This window comes from Homo sapiens, chromosome 6 (assembly GCF_000001405.40).
Source record: "Homo sapiens chromosome 6, GRCh38.p14 Primary Assembly".
Lineage (NCBI taxonomy): Eukaryota > Metazoa > Chordata > Mammalia > Primates > Hominidae > Homo > Homo sapiens.
The window spans coordinates 56,079,793-56,099,909 of NC_000006.12; the positions used below are offsets into that span (position 1 = coordinate 56,079,793).

Consider the following 20,117-nt stretch of genomic DNA (forward strand, 5'->3'; position numbering starts at 1 on the left):
AAGTCCTAATGGATCTTCTATGTCCAATTATGCTAAGAATTATTACTTCTTTTACAAATACCAAGTAAAAATATATAAAAACTACAGGATATCAAAAACAAAACATAGGCCTGATTTATCTAAGGAATTCTTGGCAAAACTAATATAATACCACAAGCATGCACAGAATACCAGCTTATTGAGGGAGAGGTTAACCAGGGAAACTGAAATCATTCAGAGCTATATTAGTTAATAAAATTCTCCAAGTTAATATTTTCCTGGGCTCCCAATATGTGTATTGAAATTGACTAAACTTTGCTAATTTTAAGTTAGCAGTAATATTATCCAAAAGCATTTGAAAGTTAACAGTTTGTTGATCGCAAAGTATTTAGTGACAATTATTTTATAGAGCAAATGTGTTTCCAAGGAGACTATTTTCTGTTTCGCTGTGGTTTTGGGTTCAGGCAACTGTGACAATGTCCAAGTAAAGACAGAAAGAAGTAAGAGTAAGTGGACATATTTCCTCTACTTCTGTGATTTCAGTTTGGGTTTGAGGAAGAGCAGAAAGTCAACCAGAAAATCCTGCATAATGTTGTGGTTAAAGAATGTTGACACAAAAAATTGTTCTAGAAGCTTCTCTGTAACCATTTAAACCACTGCTGTACAACAAACAAGTTGTTAAGAATAGAAATACATACTTTAGAATAAAGGGTTTGACTTCTATTTCCTAGAGAATACTTTGTAATGAAGGGAATGTGTCTATGACAATATTACTTAGAAAAGACAAAATATCACAGTATACTCCCCATATGTAATGAATGTATTTACTTATCTATGAAATTGGACCATCTTAGATCAAATTTGCTTTTAAGTAATGCAATATTTTCAATTCACTAAAAAAGATCTAAACTATTAATGGTATTTTTATGTCAAATTATCTACCTTTCTACACAATGGTAGAGATATTTAATATCCAGTTATCAAAATATCAGAAGTATATTACATGTTTTCTTCATTATATCAAGAAGTGATTTATTCATTCTTAAAGATTCAATGAAGAAAAAATTCACATGTTGAAAGTATCATTCTCATTAACTAAAAAGATTCCAATCTGATTATCAGTAAAGAGCATAGTAGAAGCCATAGGAAGCAGCTAAAAAATAGATGCTGGAGTCAGCCAGCCCATGTCCTAATAGCAGATCCACTCCAGGCCAGTTATTTAAACTGTAAAATCTCTGAATCCCAGTTTTCTTTGTCGGGAAAATAATAAAACCTATCTCATAGAGTTGGTACATTCTATCAATTAGCTTTCACAAATATTTAGCTCAGTGCTGGCATGACAATGAACAAATTTTTATAACTGTCTCTTCACAGCTCCTCCCTGACCTTTGAAAGTTGTGAAATACTTGAAGTCAACTTTTTTCCATGTCTCTACGTTTTGTCCTCTTTCTCCATTGTAAGGCTTTTTCTTTTTTCTTTTTTTTTTTCTTATTGGCTTTCTACCTTGCCTTTCCCTACTTGCATTTCCAAAAATGTCCATTATATGTAGGATGATGCTAGCAATCTAAAGTCCCCCACTCGGGGACGCCAACAAGTCGGCATTGCCCCCCATTCAATACCTTTCCTTTTCATGTTTGGCTGATCTTGATTACAGAGTAATACTATCATGACTTTTGCTTTTTAAATATTTTAAATAATTCATCACTATTTGTTCATAAAAAGATGACCAAGAGTATTAAATATATTTGTAGTTGAACCCTGCAATGTTTTTCAATTATTTTTTTTCCACAGTAACTGGCAGGCCATTATGAATGATTTACAACAGATTATTCTGTGGTAAGGTAACTATAGGGAGAAGTAACTTACACTCGCAGTTGCCAGACCTAAAAGAAACCAATATACAAGTACTTGCAATAAACCCTTGATAAGGAAATGAACAGTTTTCTATTCCCATATTATGCTGTAATTAATCTTTAAGGAAAAAAAATCTAAGAACGTTGGATGAACTTATTCACCCTGGCCTGTAGACAAGGGCCCACTTGGGACAGGACCCAAATTACCCAAAGATAAACAATTTAAGTAGAAAATACTTTAGCCAATAAATATAGGCTACTCATGTTTATAATAAAGCAGAAAGTGTCACAAGTTTCACCTTATAGGCTACAAAAAAAGAGAACAAAGATATCATAGGAAGGAAAAGCCATTTGGAGGCCATTTTCAAGGCTACTGCAGTAACTGGCATTTCTTTTCCACACCTAAAGGCATTTCTACATTTTTATAAACAAATAAAATAGTCTGAACAATGTTACGTTGCAAAAGCATCCTTTTCCAGGACAAGACAAAATCTCAAATTCTTAGCAAATTAAAATAACAAACCCGAAAACTCAGACAAGGACGAAGACTATCTGGAGAGGAAGGGAAAGGATTAAGAGATCTGGGACCCCTGTCACATGGTGGGAAAGTCATGTAGCCACCAGAGCCCAAAGGTCCAGGAAAACCACCTACCCCTTTATATCAGTAAGTGAAATGCATATGAAATACATGGATGTGTTAAAACAAACAAACAAACAAACAAGCATGTATGTATAGACATATGTAAAACTTAAAATCAATTCCATTTTGAAAGAGAAATTTCCAAAATAATACCAGAGTTGTTCTAAAATGGGCTCTGATCCTCTGAAAGCCTGAAAAGTACCTACCACATTTTTGGGGTACATTTTTTGTTACTACATAACTCAAAACAAATTATGGTCAATTTCTCATTAAGAAGAAAACTAAAAGTGAATTTTTCAAAGACCCTTTTTAACTTTAGAAACTTTAACTTGGTGTTGAATAGAAGTTAAAATAGAAGTTAAATCTTTTCCAGAGAAACCGGAAAATTCTACTATTTTTTTTGAATTTTATATATAATAGAGGTAATCATACCAAAATATTTTAAAGCACCATTAACCATCCCCACCAAATAAAAAATGAAATTAGTTTGATAAAGAAAACACACTAATAAGTGAATTTTTAAACTTAATTTATACGATAAAAATAACTAGGTATTTAAAATTGTATCTAATCTAATATCTTCTATATCTTATTTATAACCTCATATTTTTGAAATGTGTATGCTATTCCATCTAAATCTCTATACTAGTTATTGCATAACACAGCCCATTGTGAATTTTATGTTTATATAATATAAATCCCATTTTCTTATAAAAATAATGAAACAATTGACAAGCATTGATTAAAGTAAAAAAAATTAAATATGTTTTCTATTGATTCATAACCAATGACCACATATTTAGTGCAATTAAAACAACACACATTTATTATCTTACAGTTCTGTGGGTCAGAAGTCCAGCATGGGTCTCACAGGGCTAAATTCCAAGAATCAGCAATGCTGCACCCCTTTCTGGAGTCTCTCGGAAAGAATCTGCTTCCTGTGCATTCAGGTTATTGGCAGAATTCTGTTTCTTGCAGCTGTAGGACCAAGGTAGCCATTTTCTTACTGGCTGTAAACTTGAGGTCCATTTCCAGCTTCCAGGGGCAACTACATTCCTTGGTTTACAGCCCCAAGGAATCTATCCTTCATTTTCTCTATCTTCATATGGGTCAGGTCCTTCTTCAGTCACATCTTTTTGCCCCATTCCTGCTCTGTATTTTTCCACTTTCAATTACTCATGATCAGATTGGGCCTCCTTAGATAATCTGGAATAAAATTTCCATCTCAAGGACATTAACCTTAATCACATCTACAAAATCTCTTTGCTGTGGAAAGTACCAGGTTCCAGGGATTAAATTATGGCTATCTTTGGGGAGAGGAGGGAGTTGTCATATTTTGCCTACCACAGAAATATTATCTAATATCTGAGGACCAGATAGTTTCTATGTAATTTAAATTCCTCCAAGGCATTAAAAGGATGATCATCTAAATTCAAATTATGAAGCTACTAATACTAAGTCAATAATAATACCTAAAAAAGAAATCTACAAGCTGATGTAATTTGTTAAAATAAATGCAAATGGACTTACTATAAGGCTAGTAAGATAAATATAGCCATGTGTCAGAACAAAAGTAGAGCATGGCTAAGTAGGGTTTGTCTCAGCATGCAAGAAATGTCCAATATAAAGAAATATATCCGTATAATATACTATACTAATAACATTCCCATATTAACAATTTAGAAGAAAAACACACAAAATCATCTCAAAAGATTCATTATTAAAAATTTATCATGCAATATTTGTGAAAACTCCCAATAATCTAGGAATAGAACTAATATTTGAAACCAAAGTCTGAATCAATCAGAAACCCATTTTAAACATCAGATTTGGTGAAACACTAGACATTTCTACTTAAATTCAGGAATAAACCATAATTTATATTTTAAACCAGTAGTCACACTTATAGGGATATATCCCTTGGGGAAAATATTGCCTAAGTATGCAGAAAAAATATATATATATAAAAAACATTAATAAGAGAGATTAGATTGCTTTATAGCTATGCTATAAATGAAATGAGATAGATTTTATATTGTCTTATAACCTTATATGGTAAATGTTCATATTACAAAGTTAAATAAAAGTTTCAGTGGATCCAATTTGTTGTTTAAAAAAATTGTGTATGTTCTTATGTATTTGTAAAGAAAAAGTCCAGACATAATCTCATTAAATGAGTAACAATTGTTACTGCTGGGAATGGGAATGGAATTTGGGTAAGTGAAAGCAGACTCAAATTTACAACACAACTTCTATACTTTTTGAGTACTTAAGATAAACTAAGTAAATAAATATATGTAAGAAGTGATAAATAATGAACAAAAGGATTAGATAAAACTAATAAAATGTAGTCAAATATACAATACATAATAATAAACAAATGAAAAGTTGGCCCACACAAATTTCTTGTCTTAAAAAGTTCTCAAAAAATGTCTAAGAGTTATTTTCCTCACATTTAAATCATTCAAGAAATTACTGTTAAACGTTGGTCTTTCAAAATAAAAAAGTAAAGATATTAAAGGTTGCGGCTATCATTTGGTAAGAGAACTAGAACAACTGGAAAGAATTATACTGCAGACTCAGAAATCAATACTGGGGAGATCTTAATACACCTCCCTGCTATGATCTCCCTGTGTAACACATTTGCTAAGTTTTCATGCCTTGGGAGTTATTCTTGCAGATAATTTTCACATATTGCTAAGTACACTGTGTTGGACAAAGGCATTCATATTGCTCAGGGAAAGATAATGCTGTGTTTAAGGAGCACTTTCTTTCACAGGAGAGCTAGGAATTCGACATTTGGCAAAATCAGCTTTCCCAGGCACCATTTCCCCCATTTTCCCACAGTCATAGAACTTTTCTAAAACAAAAAATGGTAATATATTAGATCTATAATTACAGATTGTTACTTTTGTCTATTACATAAAATTTTTTAAATCTGGAAAAAATAATAACCTAAAAATTTCATTAAAATTGAAGGTATAATAAAACTAATAAATTTAAGTTATCTAATTTCTATCTTTGTAAGGATTTACCTCTCTCATATAAGCAAGTTTAGTCCTCTTCAATTGCATATAGATGTATTTTTGTTTTACAAAATAGATTTGTTCTTGTTATTTTTGTCAATAAACAAAACACAAAATATTATAAATAAGCAAAGGAAACCGAACCCATTTGGAAATATAATTTCATATTATCATTTATGACAACATCAAAGCTTATTTAACCAGACAAATACATATTAAAGCATGTATGGTCTGAAAAATATTAAAATGTCAGAATTCTTTTCTTGTACCAATATCACTAAAACTGATTGTTCTCCTCCAGTAGGTAACTTTTGTCTTCCTACTGTGTTCATATTCCTCTTTTTGATCTACTTGTTTCAAAGTCTCTATATCAGTAGTTATTAAACTTTACATCAGACTCACATGCAGTTGCCATTAAAAATCTAGTTTCTTGGGCTTTGACCCCAAATTTTGATTTATCAGGAGCAGAATGGCCCCTAGAAAACTGAATTTTAATAGGCATTTCTAGTAATTTTGAGGTACTCTGTGGATCAGAGCTTGAGAAATAGTGTTCTTTATATATTTTTTTCAAGAGATATACAGATCATTTCCAAGAGAGTATCATTTATTTATATATAAATATATTTATATTCATAATACAGATAATTTTCAAGATTCTCATTTACATATAGTCTCATATATTTTATATTATATATAAAAATATCTAAATTATTTATATATAAGTGAGACTCTCCTGAAAACTATCTGTATTATAGGTATTAAGCTTGGATTGTCATCAGGGGTTTTAAATTTACGATTATCTACTAATTAAATTTTAAAATAATCCATTTTATGCCTCTGCTTAAAAACCATTACATATACATTATTTTTCCACCAAGCTATAACCTTTGAACAAAATTCTTAACACTCTGCCTGTCATGATTAAATGTGCTTATCTTTAATGGATTTTAGGAGTTTTAACCCACCACACGATTTTTATATACAGTTGACCCTTGAACTACACAGGGGTTAGTGGTGCCAAACCATTGCACAGTTGAAAATCCACGGTTAAATTTTGACTCCCCCAAAATGTAACTATTAATAGCCTAGTTTTGGCTGAAAGCATTACCAATAACATAAACAGTCAATTAATACGTGTTTTGGATGTTATATGTATTGTATACTATATTATTACAATAAAGAAACTAGAGAAAAGCAAATGTTATTAAGATAATATGGAAGAGAAAATATATCTACTATTCATTAAGTGGAAGTGGATCATCATAAAGGTCTTCACCCTCATCATCTTCATGTTAAGTAGGCTGAGGAAGAAGAAGAGGAGGGGTTGGTCTTGCTGTCTCAAGGGGTGACAGAGACAGATGTGGAAGGGGTAAAAGGGGAAGCAGGAAAGGCAGGCGCACTGGGTGTAATTTTGTGAAAGCACACTGTAATTTCTGCCCGATTTTTTGCTTTTCATTTATCTAGAAAGGTTCCTATAAGGCAGCAATCCTTCTTCCACTATTTGCTTCAGTGTCAGTACCCATATCATAGAAGTGTCCATGCCGTAAAAGAAGTCAAAAGCAGTCTTAAATAATCCGAACCATTCTGCCAGCTTGTCTAATGTCAATTTGTTTTCTGGCATTGCTTCTTCTCTGTCTTCTTCCCATAGTCTGGCACTGGTTTGGAGCCACTCATCACCATCAAGTTGTCTTCTGTTAATTCCTCTGATTTGGTGTCTGTTACCTCTTGAATCTCTCCACGATCCATATCTTGGGACCCTTGTCCCTTCACCTTTTGTTTTGTTTTGTTTTGTTTTGTTTTGTTTTGTTTTGTTTTGTTTTGCCATATCCACAATCTCTTTTGTGATTTCCCTGATTGGTTGTGTCATAAGATCATGTACAACATTTAGACACAGTTTTCTCCAGTAGAATTTTATGTTTCAGGCTTCATGGCTTTTTCTGTAACAATGACAGCATCGTCAGTGGTGTAATTCTTCCAGACTTTCATGACATTCTCTCTGCTGGGGTTCTCTTCTATAGCATTGACAACCTTTCCATACAATACCATGTGTAATAAGCTTTAAAGGTCCTCCTTATTATACAATCTAGAGGCTGAATTAGATACATTGTCTTAGGGGGCAAGTAGACCATTCAGATGTCTTCAGTATTGAACTCATGGGGTTCTGGGTGGCTGGAGACATTGTCTAATATCAAAAGAACTTTAAAATGCAGTCCCTTACTAGCAATGTACTTCCTGATTTCAGGGACAAAGCATTGATGGAACCAATCCAGAAAAAGCATTCTGTCATCCAGGCTTTCTTGTTATACAACCAAAAGACTGCCAGCTGGTGTTTATAGTTTCCCTTCAAGGCTTGGGAGTTAACAGCTCTAAAGATAAGGGAAGTCCTGATTATAAACCCAACTGCATTTGTACAAAACAGTACAGTTAGCCTATCCTTTCCTGACTTAAATCCTGGGGCTTGTTTCTCTTCCTTACTAATAAATGTCCTTTGTGGCATTTCTTTCTTCCAGAGTAGGACAATTCTATCTGCATTAAAAATTTGTTCAGGAAGATATCCATTTCTCCTCAATGAGATTCTTAGTGGCATCTGGAAATGCTTGTGCTGCTGCTTTGTTGGCAGAAGCTGCTTCTCCTGTGTTTGACAATTTTTAAGCCAAACCTGTTTTTAAAATTATCAAACCATCCTTTGCTGACATTAAATTCTCCAGCTTTTGTTTGAAAAAGCTGGAGAATTGATAAATTCTTCATCTTTGTTTTGCTTTAATTTATCATATAATAATTTTGCTTTTTAGGCCGGGCACAGTGGCTCACACCTGTAATCCTAGCACTTTGGGAGGCCGAGGTGGGTGGATCACCTGAGGTCAGGACTTCAAGACCAGCCTGGCCAACATGGTGAAACCCCGTCTCTACTAAAAATACAAAAATTAGCTGGGCATGGTGGCACATGCCTATAATCTCAGCTACTGAGGAGGCTGAAGCAGGAGAATTGCTTGACCCCGGGAGGTGGAGGTTGCAGTGAGCTGAGATTGCGCCACTGCACTCCAGCCTGGGCAACAGAGTGAGACTCCATCTCAAAAAAAAATAATTTTGCTCTTTAAAAATCATATTTGTGTCTATTAGTATGCCTTTCTTATAGCAATCCTGCATTCACATAAAAGCTGAATTTTCAATATGAGACAAAAAGGAATTTTGCAAAAAGTACAAAGTTTTTGCACCTGCCAGCATAGCTGCAGCAACAGTTTCACAAATTTCCTTTTCTTTTTTTTACAATGGTCCTTACACTGTATTATCTCAAAATGGTGGGCAATTGCAGCAGCAGACCTCAATCTATGGTACATATCAAGCAATAAAACCTTTTCTTATAATGTCACAACTTTTTTTCTGCTTTTTGGGAGCACTTCCAAAATCACTAGTGGCACTTCCTATGTGTTTCATGATGTTATTCAGAGTTTACAGTATTGCACTAAACAATGAAAAATACGCAAAAAACCACAAGAGATCTTTTTCTTTGAGATAGTGTCTCACTCACTCTACCACCCAGGCTGGAGTACAGTGGAGTGATCTCTGCTGAATGGGGCCTCGACCTCCCAGGCTCAGGTGATCCCCCCACCTCAGCCTCCTGAGTAGCTGGCACTAGGCACACATCACCACATCTGGCTAATTTTTTGTATGTTTTGTAGAGATGGGGTTTTGCGATGCTACCCAGGCTAGTCTCAAACTCCTGGGCTTGGTCAAGTGGTCCGCCCCCCTTAACTCCCAAAATGCTGGGGTTACAGGCTTGAACCACCACACTCGGCTGAGATCACTTTTTACTGTAATACACAATTTATTGGAAAGACAAACTGCTCCCATGGAGATGATTAGCATCACATGGCATTTTAAGCTGATACCTGCAACAGTTGAGCTCACCAAAATAGCAACAGGAGGTGGCTATGAAATTATTACAGTAATACAATATGCACTACAGTTAATTTTAGGCAGTTATGATTTAATATTGCATCTTTACATTTGTATACATTTATCTCAACTGCAAATGGCACTATGTATGTTCTGTAAATGTTTGTGTATGTAAGTTGTGATCAATTTTAAATTTTTATTATAGTAAATAATACAGACTAACATCTATATATATTTTTTGCACTCATGGCATAACTTTTTATTTTAAAAAAATATTTCTATGCAACATGGTTCATCTACAAGTTTTTAAAACTGTCAAAACGTTCCAAAAAAATTTTTCACTATATGTATTGAAAAAAATCCACATATAAGTGGACCCAAAAAATTCAAATCCATATTGTTAAAGTCAAAGTCTGTTTACATGACATCAACCCATAAAAGTTAGACTTGATATCCTGTATACATGGTAAGTTTCCTCTCATCCATTCTCTTCAAATCAGAGATGAATATAATCAGTCCCCATACCAGTGAGACTACTGAGCCTACATAAACAATAATGAGATTCTATTTACTTAGAGGATATGTTATCCATTCTAAGAATTAATCATACATCATCTCATATTTGCAATTGCATTTATTCCTCTTGAAATTTCAGGGCTCAATAAAGCCTCTTTCAAATTATAAAGAAATGGATAGAAAAGAGAAAAAATCAAATAAAATACGTTAATGCTTATCAGTGGTTCTTACAATAACAATAATTTAAAGGACTTCTGGCTGGGCGCAGTGGCTCACGCCTGTAATCCCAGCACTTTGGGAGGCTGAGGAGGGCGGATCATGATGTCAAGAGATCAAGACCATCCTGGCCAAAATGGTGAAACCCTGTCTCTACTAAAATACAAAAATTAGCTGGGCATGGTGGCACGCGCCTGTAGTCTCAGCTACTCAGGAGGCTGAGGCAGGAGAATTGCTTGAACCCAGGAGGCAGAGGTTGCAGTGAGTCAAGATCGTGCCACTGCACTCCAGCCTGGCAACAGAGCAAGACTCCATCGAAGAAAAAAAGATTTCTTAGAACAACACAAAAAAATGATCAGTGCCGTAGACACAGAGCTTCTAAATTTAAAATCAACAATGTTACTTTATGTTATTGTTTGATGGTAGTCCAGTTTTGCTATGTCAATGATATTTATGTCATTTATGATAGGAAAGAATAAAACAGATCTGTGATTAAACCTGGTGGGACTTTATTAACTAATTTGTACAGATAATGAGCCAACATTTGTGTGTGAGGTCAAAATTAATGACACAATATTTTCACAGTCACTACATTGCCAACTGTCATATTGTAGAAGACCAAAAAGTTACAGATATTGCTTACAAATTTAGTCAATCCTACAGATAAACTGAGCATTTACATTATTTTAGATAAAGCCTATTTCAAAATGCATTATAAGAGTTATTCTCAATTAGATTTTAAAACATAATTACTATGACAATAAATTATTATAATAGTTTTATGTAGTAATATTGTTTTATAATAATTATATACATAATTACATTATTACAATAATAAATACAATTGAATTTTCAAATTGTACTATCCAAATTGTTACATGTGGGTTGCCTTCACACTAAGAACTGCTGTGTGAAATTTGTAATAGCAGATATATGAGTTTCAAGTTAAAGTTGGTTTACTCGGCACATACTTGGTATGTACCACTCCTGGAGCCTGAAAAAGGGGTGAGAAAAAGTATTACAAATCTGTACAAAAGACTGAAACATCTTACCATACAATTGCAAATCAAGTAAAAACAATAATAGAACTAGTGGGTTTTTCTCCTCTTTCTTTTCAATCTAAATAAAAAATATAGTCAAGCAGGCAAATAAAGATACCTCCACTTTACTAGCATCACAAAGTAGATTGGTAATTCCACATGGGAAATTATCACAGCAATTCATCATTAATGTTCCCCAATAATTTTATGCATGTCTTCTGCATATATGCATAAAACTGATATGCCAAATAATCACGCTGCAGAAAAGGTGATTAAACAAAAGATCTACTTGTCTCTTAAGTACATGGTAACTTGGACTGGCTCAGCAGTAAACATTACATCATAAAGACAAGCATAACATGTGGTTAAGCAAGAATTTGAAAGGCATGAGGAAAGGAAACAATAAAAGCCTCTATGAGCCAGTGTTTCAACTACACTACAGTGATCCCCATGTCTTTATTCCTGGAAAAATGAGACAGCAAACATTTCCAAAATAAAACTGCTAAGGCCATCCTTCATTAAGAAATATGCACTCACCTCCATAGATCCAGGAAACACGGCATTCTTTTTCTCCTTTTCATGGAGCTCCAGGGATCTCAGCTCACAGTAGAACCCAGTCCCTGCCTACAAATTTTCACTGTGAGCCATAAGGCTCCCTGTACACAATGGGGCTAGCTGGTGAGCAGAGAACTAGAAAGCAAATGATTTAGATTGCCTGATGAAAATGTTAACACCAAATACAACATGCCATCAGGATTGAGCACCAGGACAAAAATAGCTATGACAAAGCAGCAGTGGAAACTATTCTGCAGATAATTTGGTTGGCAAGAATTGACCAAAGAAGACTAACTCGTCAACATGATAACTTGGTCTAACATTGAATTCAGTTGAAAATGAGTATTTTCTGTTACGGTTTTTTCAACTACTGGTAAATTTATTCTACTGTTGCCCTCATGTTGCTCTGTCCTCACCATCCACCTAGCTGCCCAAGATAAAATCAGAGTGATTTTAGGAAAAGAAAATTCCAAAATATTAAGTTAGGAAAAGAAATTTCCAAAATATTAAGGATTCTTTGAAGCAATCTTGTCCTTTATTCTTAGAATAAAAACCAAAATGTAGTCTAGCAAAGTTGGCATCTTTTAAAAGAAAAAAAAACACTAAAAAGCACTCAAAATCTAGGCCTCAATTGTTGTTATAGTACAAAAACAATAATTATTTTTGTTTATGCTCATGGGAGAACATATGTTTATGTTTATTATGTTTATGCTCATGGGAGAACATAAAATAAAGGCAAGAAAAATGCAACATAACAGACAACAAAAACCCAACTGGGGAAAAATAAGCGAAGTAATTGAAACATAATTAAACCATACGATTTGTATCCATGCAGATCCTTTTTTACGCATACATATTTATATATTGTTTAACTATTATATATAGCACATTAAGTATCATCCATTTAATTGCTTCAAATTTACAATATGATAACACAGAGAAGAAATATGGGCTAAAAGTTACTAAATACAACAATGAAAAATGTAGGAAAATGAGAAATAGACAAATTAAGTTTTTAAAAATACATGATAATTTAACAAAATTGATAGTATAGAAAATATTGACTGAAGAGTCTTGCTTTCAAATTGTCATTGAAACAGACTTGTTTATTGACTTGCTGAAGCCCAAATATTTTTGATCAACACATATGCTACCAACAGTTTGCAATATACACCAATACATACTCACATACATTTTTATATAGGTTCATTACATAAAATGATTAAGAATTAGACTAAATGAAAAGCCTAGTGTACTAGTTTCCAATAGCTACTGTAACAAATTACCACAAACTTGGTTTACACAACAGAATTTTATTCCCTCACAGTTCTGGAATGCACAAGTCTGAAGTCAAAGTCTTTTCAGGGCTGTGTGTCCCCCAGAAGCTCAAGGGAAGATTCCATTACTTGCCTTTCTCAATTTTTGGTCAGTGCCAGCATTCTTTGGCTTGTGGATACATCACTCCAATCTTAGCCACCATGGTCTCATTACTCCCTCCTCTTCCCTATGTGAAATTTTCCTCTGCCTCTCTCTTACAAGGACACTAGTGTGACATTTAGGGTCCACTGGGATAAGCCAAGATAATCTCCCTATGACAAGATACTCATTCATATCTACAAAAGACCTTTTTTTCAAATAAGGTAATATTTACAGATTCTGGGGATTAAGAGCTGATGTCTCGGGGAAGGGTAATTTTCAGCCTGACACAGTCTACCCTCTGGCCTTCAAAGATTCACATTCATCCCACATACAGTATACATCCACCCCAATCCAATGTCCACAAAAGTCTCAACAATTTACAGTGAATTTCAAATTCTTATCTAAATTAATAAATCGCTCTGAAGTCCTAAATCTTGTTATCTAAATCAGGTATGGGTATGATCCATCCTAGGACAATATCCCTTTCCATCTGTGAACCTATAGACTACAGAGCAAGTTATCTATTTCCCGATTACGATGTTAAGACAGGCAAAGGATAAGTTATCAACATACCCATTCAAAAAGAAGAAAAGGTCGCTGACCCTCTGCAATGTTGAATCCAGCAGAAAAAATTCCATCAGATTTCATGACCTAGGAATACCCCTCTGGGCTTGAGGCCCTGCCAGCCTTGGAACCACTATTCTTTTTTACTTGAAAGATAGTACATAATTGAAGTTGAGTAGTTTTATCAGCCTGCTTCCTACCTATAAAAATTTTGAGCGTCCAACAGCCTTCCCTCACTTTGTCTTGTCTCTGTACCTTTCATTCCAAACTGGCAGAGTTTCTGCTGATATAACATTATCAAAACCTTGTAAGTTTCCTGTATATATAATGAGGATTTACACAATTAGACAAGAGGCTCCTCCCCAGGTTTTTCCTGGATAGTCTCATATCTTTATATGTGGCTTCCACTGGGCTGGTTGAATGGATTCATGAGTCCTGTACCTAATCTCTTTTGCACTAGCAAACTTTGTCTAGCCACAACCTTAACCTTTTTTCCAGCATGCTTGCGTAACAGTGAATCTGCTAATTTTAACATCTTTTGTAATCTATATAAGCAGGATATTTCCCAAATCACCAAGTGCTGGCTCCTTTTTGCTTAACAGTTCTTTCCTCAAATATCTTTTTCTCCTCACACTTTACTATAAGCAGTAAGAAAAAAAAAATCATGCTCTATCTTCAGCACTTTGCTTGGCAATCTCGTCAGCTAAATATACAAGTTCATCACTTAGAAGTCTTACTTTCCACACAACTGCAGGACATCATTTAGCTAAATTTTCTGCCACTTTATGACAAGGTGTCACTATTCTTCCAGTTTCCTACAGCATGTTCCTCTTTCCTCCTTTATCAACAGTGTCTTTAATGTCCATTCATCTAGCAACAGTGTGTTGATGATGCTATACATATTTTCTAAGATGAGAAAGGCTTTCTCCACATGACTTCCACTTCTTCACTGAGCCCTCACTATCAATCTTTAACATTCATATGTCTACCAGTAGTCTGTTCAAGGCAATATAGACTACTTCTACCATGTGTCTCAAAATTCTTACAGCCTCTATACATTACCCAGTTCCCAAGCCACTCTACATTTTAGGTACTTAGGTACTTACTCCCGGAAACAAAATCTGCATCAGTCAGGGTTCCAGCAGAGAAACAGAACCAGCTGAGATATATGAATGTATGTATACACACATATACATGGCAGAGATTTGTTGCAAAGTATTGGTTTATGCAAGAGTGGGGACTGGCTAGGCAAATACCAATCCATGAGACAGGCAATTAGGAGGTGTAAGTTGGAAACTCTCACACAGGAGCTGACGCTGTAATCCATGGAGAGAATTTCTTCTTTCTCTAGGAAACTTCAGTGTTGCTCTGAACTTTCAACTGACTGGTTCATGCCCACCAGAAAATCCCAGATAATCTCCCCATCAGAAGATCTTTAACTTAATCATTTCTACAAAGACCTTTTTATCCAAATAAAACCATATTTACAGGTTTCAGAAGTTAAGATCTGATATTTCTGAGGGGGAGGCATTTTTTAACCTACTACCACTAGTATTTACAGAAATTCATCTAAAATTTCCTTGGATCTGACCCACAACTTTTTATTGAAATTTTATTAATTTCTATTTTTACAAGCCTATTATTTTCTAATTATCCCAAAATATAGACCTTCTCTTTAAATGCCTTTGTTATTATTTAGATATGTTCCATTTAAACATACTTTAGGATCACTTGCACTAGCCAAAACTGGTTCTTTGTGTTCTATTCCCTGTTTACTGTGTGGTGTTCCTCTGTATCCATCCATGCAGTAAGACTTTTGAAGAGTCATCTCTTATCTTACCCGCATCTAATGGATCCTCAAGCCCTGCTAGTACCTGTTTAGTTCATTTCAAATCCGTCCCACTCTCCCCCTCCCAACTCTGACCACTCTCACTTTAGTTGTTACTAGAGGTGACAGAGCTCACTAACTGCTTCCAGTCAAAAGTTTTAAGTAGGGAAGTAGGGCTCCCATTACTCTCAGAATTAAGTGCAAACAGCACAGACACCTAAAGCCCTTCCTGGTTTGGCCTCTATCTATCCCTAAAAGCTCACCTACTGTTTCTGTCACTTCCCTTTCATGTACCGCATGGCAGCCTCAACTACTGTCAGTTCTTCTCAGAGTATGCTTTCTTCTGCCTCTATATTTTGGAACATGCATGCTACACACTCCTGCCTTGCCAGGCCAAACAACTAGCACACTCATATTTATCATCCAGAATTTGGCCAAGAGAGTTGTGTTTTTAAGAAGCCATCCCTATGCATTTTAAATAGGTGAACTGTATGTGAATTATATCTCATAATATTGGTTTTTTTGTTTTTGTTTCTTTTGAGACAGAGTCTCACTCTGTCACCCAGGCTGGAGTGCAGTGGCATGATCTTGGCTCACTGCAGTCTCCACCTTCCAGGTTCAAGCAATTCTCCTGCCACAGCCTCCCGAGTAGGTGGGATTACAGGCGCCCACCACCACGCCTGGCTGATTTTTTTATTTTTAGTAGAGATGGGATTTCACCATGTTTGCCAGGCTGGTCTCAAACTCCTGACCTCAAGTAATCCACCTGCCTTGGCCTCCCAAAATGCTGGGATTACAGGCATGGGCCACCATGTCTGGCCTGCATTTTTTTTTTTTAAACAATGCATACCTTTCGACAATGCCTACAGCCTCATGTAAGGTTATACACATCTTCCACAGCCTTTCAGGCTCCCCCCATACCTATGTTCATACCATTCATACTGTGTTGCCATCTATTGGCTCATTTGACTCCTTGATGGCCAGGCCATGATTAATTAATCTTCATATTCTCCTCAATTAGTACAATGTCTGGCACAAAGTAGACACTCAGTAAATACTGCTGAATAATTGAAAGAATATAATCTTTAAACATAGCAATTCATGGTTGAAACAAGTTATAATAAATCTATCTGGTGTTAGACCTGAGTTTACAGTTTCCTGAATTGAAGTTAATTAGGTATAATTTACTACTTAGAAAGTAAATTACTTTTAGGATTGACAAATACTAGCTTTCAAATTCAAAGTACTGACATGTGAATGTACTTGTATTTTGAAGCAATATAATCATTTCCTAATAAATTATAGTGCTAGCCATTAATTTTAATTCTGGGAGTTAGTGTTCATATGTATCAATCTGCTTACAGGGATGAATCACCATTAAACTGACATAAGCTGTGTTTAATTAGCTTTAAAGCATTTTTCCAAGAGCTTCTGTCCTTCCATGTGAAACTCCATTAATTTTCTTGGCTGCCACATTATAGAATAAAGTGAATATGCCCTTTATAGTAGAGCCAAGTCATTTATTACAACTACTTAAAACCATTATTTCCACACAATGGAAGAATGTTTATTTCTTTGTGTCACAAAATATATAAACTTTATGGATTTTTTTTCTATTTTCAAAGCTTTTCCACAAATGATAAGAATCCATTTGCACAGCATAATAAAAACCAAGTTTTCATTAATTGTTAAAAAAAAAATAGCTTGTTACGCTATCTGTTCTTATTTGGAAGAAAATACAGACCAGAAGAATTGTTTCCAGACATCAGCAAATTTGAGACACTTAACCTATGAATTGCTTTCCTAACAGGATGCATTTCCTGGCATAGGAAACTTGGCTTCCTCTTTGCTATTCATCAAGAAAGAGAGGGGAATGGAAGAAAAGAAGTAAAGGAACCTCTCCTGTGTTCCCCAATCCATTGGGCTGGAGTGGGAGAGTCTCACTCAGTAACTCCCAGTTTTTTACCCACTAGATTTAGGAGAAAAAATTCATCTCAATAACGTCTACTACCCCATTCACATTATTCTTTGCCTCAGCACCTTGTTTGTCTATCTTTTTGAACTTGGTAATTTAGTTTTTGCTTGCTTATCCTTTTACCATCTATCTCCCCAACTAGGCTGTAAGCCTCCATGAGGCAGTCACTGTGTTTCCCTCACCACTGAAGCTAAACATTACAGGGGTGGAAGGAATATTGGGAGGAAAGAAAAAAAAGAAAAGAAGGAAATGGTTAAAATCTAAAGGGCCACACTCCCTGGAATGGTAAATTATTCTAGTGCAACAACTCTAGACAGGAATAAGTCTTGAATAAAGTGGGAGCAGGCAGGGCAAAAACAAACCCAAATCAGTGTCTGCTTGGCGATAAAACTGAGAAACAAGCAGCCATGGGAAAGGAAAGCATCTTCTAAGCACTCCTCATTTTATATTTTTTATATATATATAAATATATATAAATATATAAAAATATATATATAAATCTATATAAATATATATAAATACATATAAATATATATAAATATATAAATATATATAAATATATAAAAATATCTATAAATATATAAATATATATAAATATATAAATATATAAATATATATAAATATATAAATATATAAAAATATATATAAATATAAAAATATATATAAATATATAAATATATATAAATATATATGTAAATATATAAATATATAAATATATATAAATATATATGTAAATATATAAATATATATAAATATATATAAATATATAAATATATATAAATATAAATATATATAAATATATAAATATATATAAATATATATAAATATATATATAAATAGATATATAAATAGATATAAATATATATAAATAGATATATAAATAAATATATAAATATATAAATATATATAAATATATAAATACATATATAAATATATAAATATATATAAATATATAAATACATATATAAATATATAAATATATATAAATATATAAATACATATGTAAATATATAAATATATATAAATATATAAACACATATGTAAATATATAAATATATATATGAATATATATAAATATATATAAATATATAAATATATATATAAATATATATAAATATATAAATATATAAATATATATAAATATATATATATATATAAATATATAGATATATATAAATATACATATATAAATATATAGATATATATAAATATATATATAAATATATAAATATATATATAAATATATAAATATATATAAATATATAAATATATATAAATATATATAAATATATAAATATATATATAAATATATATAAATATATATAAATATATATATAAATATATATAAATATATAAATATATATAAATATATATATAAATATATATAAATATATAAATATATATATAAATATATATAAATATATATATATTTTGAGACGGGGTCTTGCTCTGTCGCCCAGGCTGGAGTGCAGTAGCGCGATCTTGGCTCACCGCAACCCCCACCTCCCAGGTTCAAGCGATTCTCCTGCCTCAGCCTCCCGAGTAGCTGGGACTACAGGCACGTGCCACCACGCCCTGCTAATTTTTTGTATTTTTAGTAGAGACGGGGTTTCACCGTGTTAGCCAGGATGGTCTCAATCTCCTGCCCTCATGATCCGCCCGCCTCGGCCTCCCAAAGTGCTGGGATTACAGGCGTGAGCCACTGCACCCGGCCTATGTTTAATATTTCTTTTATCTTTTTAGGTTTTATGAAGATATTTCAATAGTATCATGTTCAACGTAAATACGTGCTCCTCACATTGAATTATGGTCTACACAGACTTGCCGGTCAGTCTGCCCTTTCTAACATTGTTTCTACGGGAGAATGAATTACAGATTCCAAATAACTAACTCACAAACATTTAGAACACAGTCACAAACTAAATTTTTTTTTTTTTTTTTTTTTTTTTTTTAGAGGGAGTTTAGCTCTGTCGCCCAGGCTGGAGTGCAGTGGCGCCATCTCGGCTCACTGCAAGCTCCGCCTCCCGGTTTCACACCATTCTCCGGCCTCAGCCCCTCTCCGAGTAGCTGGGACTACAGGCGCCCGCCACCACGCCTGGCTAATTTTTTGTATTTTTAGTAGAGACGGGGTTTCACCGTGTTAGCCAGGATGGTCTCGATCTCCTGGCCTCGTGATCCAGCCGCCTCGGCCTCCCAAAGTGCTGGGATTACAAGCGTGAGCCACTGCACCCAGCCTTCACATCCTAAATTATATCCAAGCTCTCATGTCTATTATCTCTTATTTCCCTCTTCCTCTTTTTCCTTCTTTTCTTCCCATTAACCTTTCCTTCTCTCACCTCTCTTTGTGTTTCTTATGCTCTTTCCCTCATACACGCACACCCACATACACACACACACCTACTTTATATTCTGAAACAATAACATAAACAAATAATCACACCCAGTCTTATATCCAGTTACCAAGTCTCATAATTTTTCTTAAATAACAGCAATTATGGCTCACATATGTTGAGCTCATGCTACCCTATTGAACCCACTCCATGCTTATTAATACCCTAGTCGAGGCCTTCTACTTCATGCCTGGTCTGTCAAAAGAGCCTGCTAACTAG

At 34.0% G+C, this 20,117-nt stretch overlaps 1 protein-coding gene across 14 annotated transcripts in view; it reads right to left on the reverse strand.

Moving 5' to 3' along the window:
* COL21A1 (collagen type XXI alpha 1 chain) overlaps window positions 1-20,117 on the reverse strand; it is a 337,539-nt gene that overhangs the window by 23,203 nt on the left and 294,219 nt on the right. For 2 of the 14 annotated variants that reach the window (NM_001318754.2, NM_001318753.2), the window contains exon 1: window positions 11,705-11,870. The exons of the other annotated variants lie outside the window; for them this stretch is intronic. Coding sequence is in view for 1 of the 2 variants with exons in the window: in NM_001318753.2 (NP_001305682.1) it covers window positions 11,705-11,710 (6 nt within the window). In the remaining variant the exon portion in view is untranslated. Of the gene's footprint in view, window positions 1-11,704; window positions 11,871-20,117 lie in introns of those variants that run through there. 14 annotated transcript variants of the gene reach the window in all.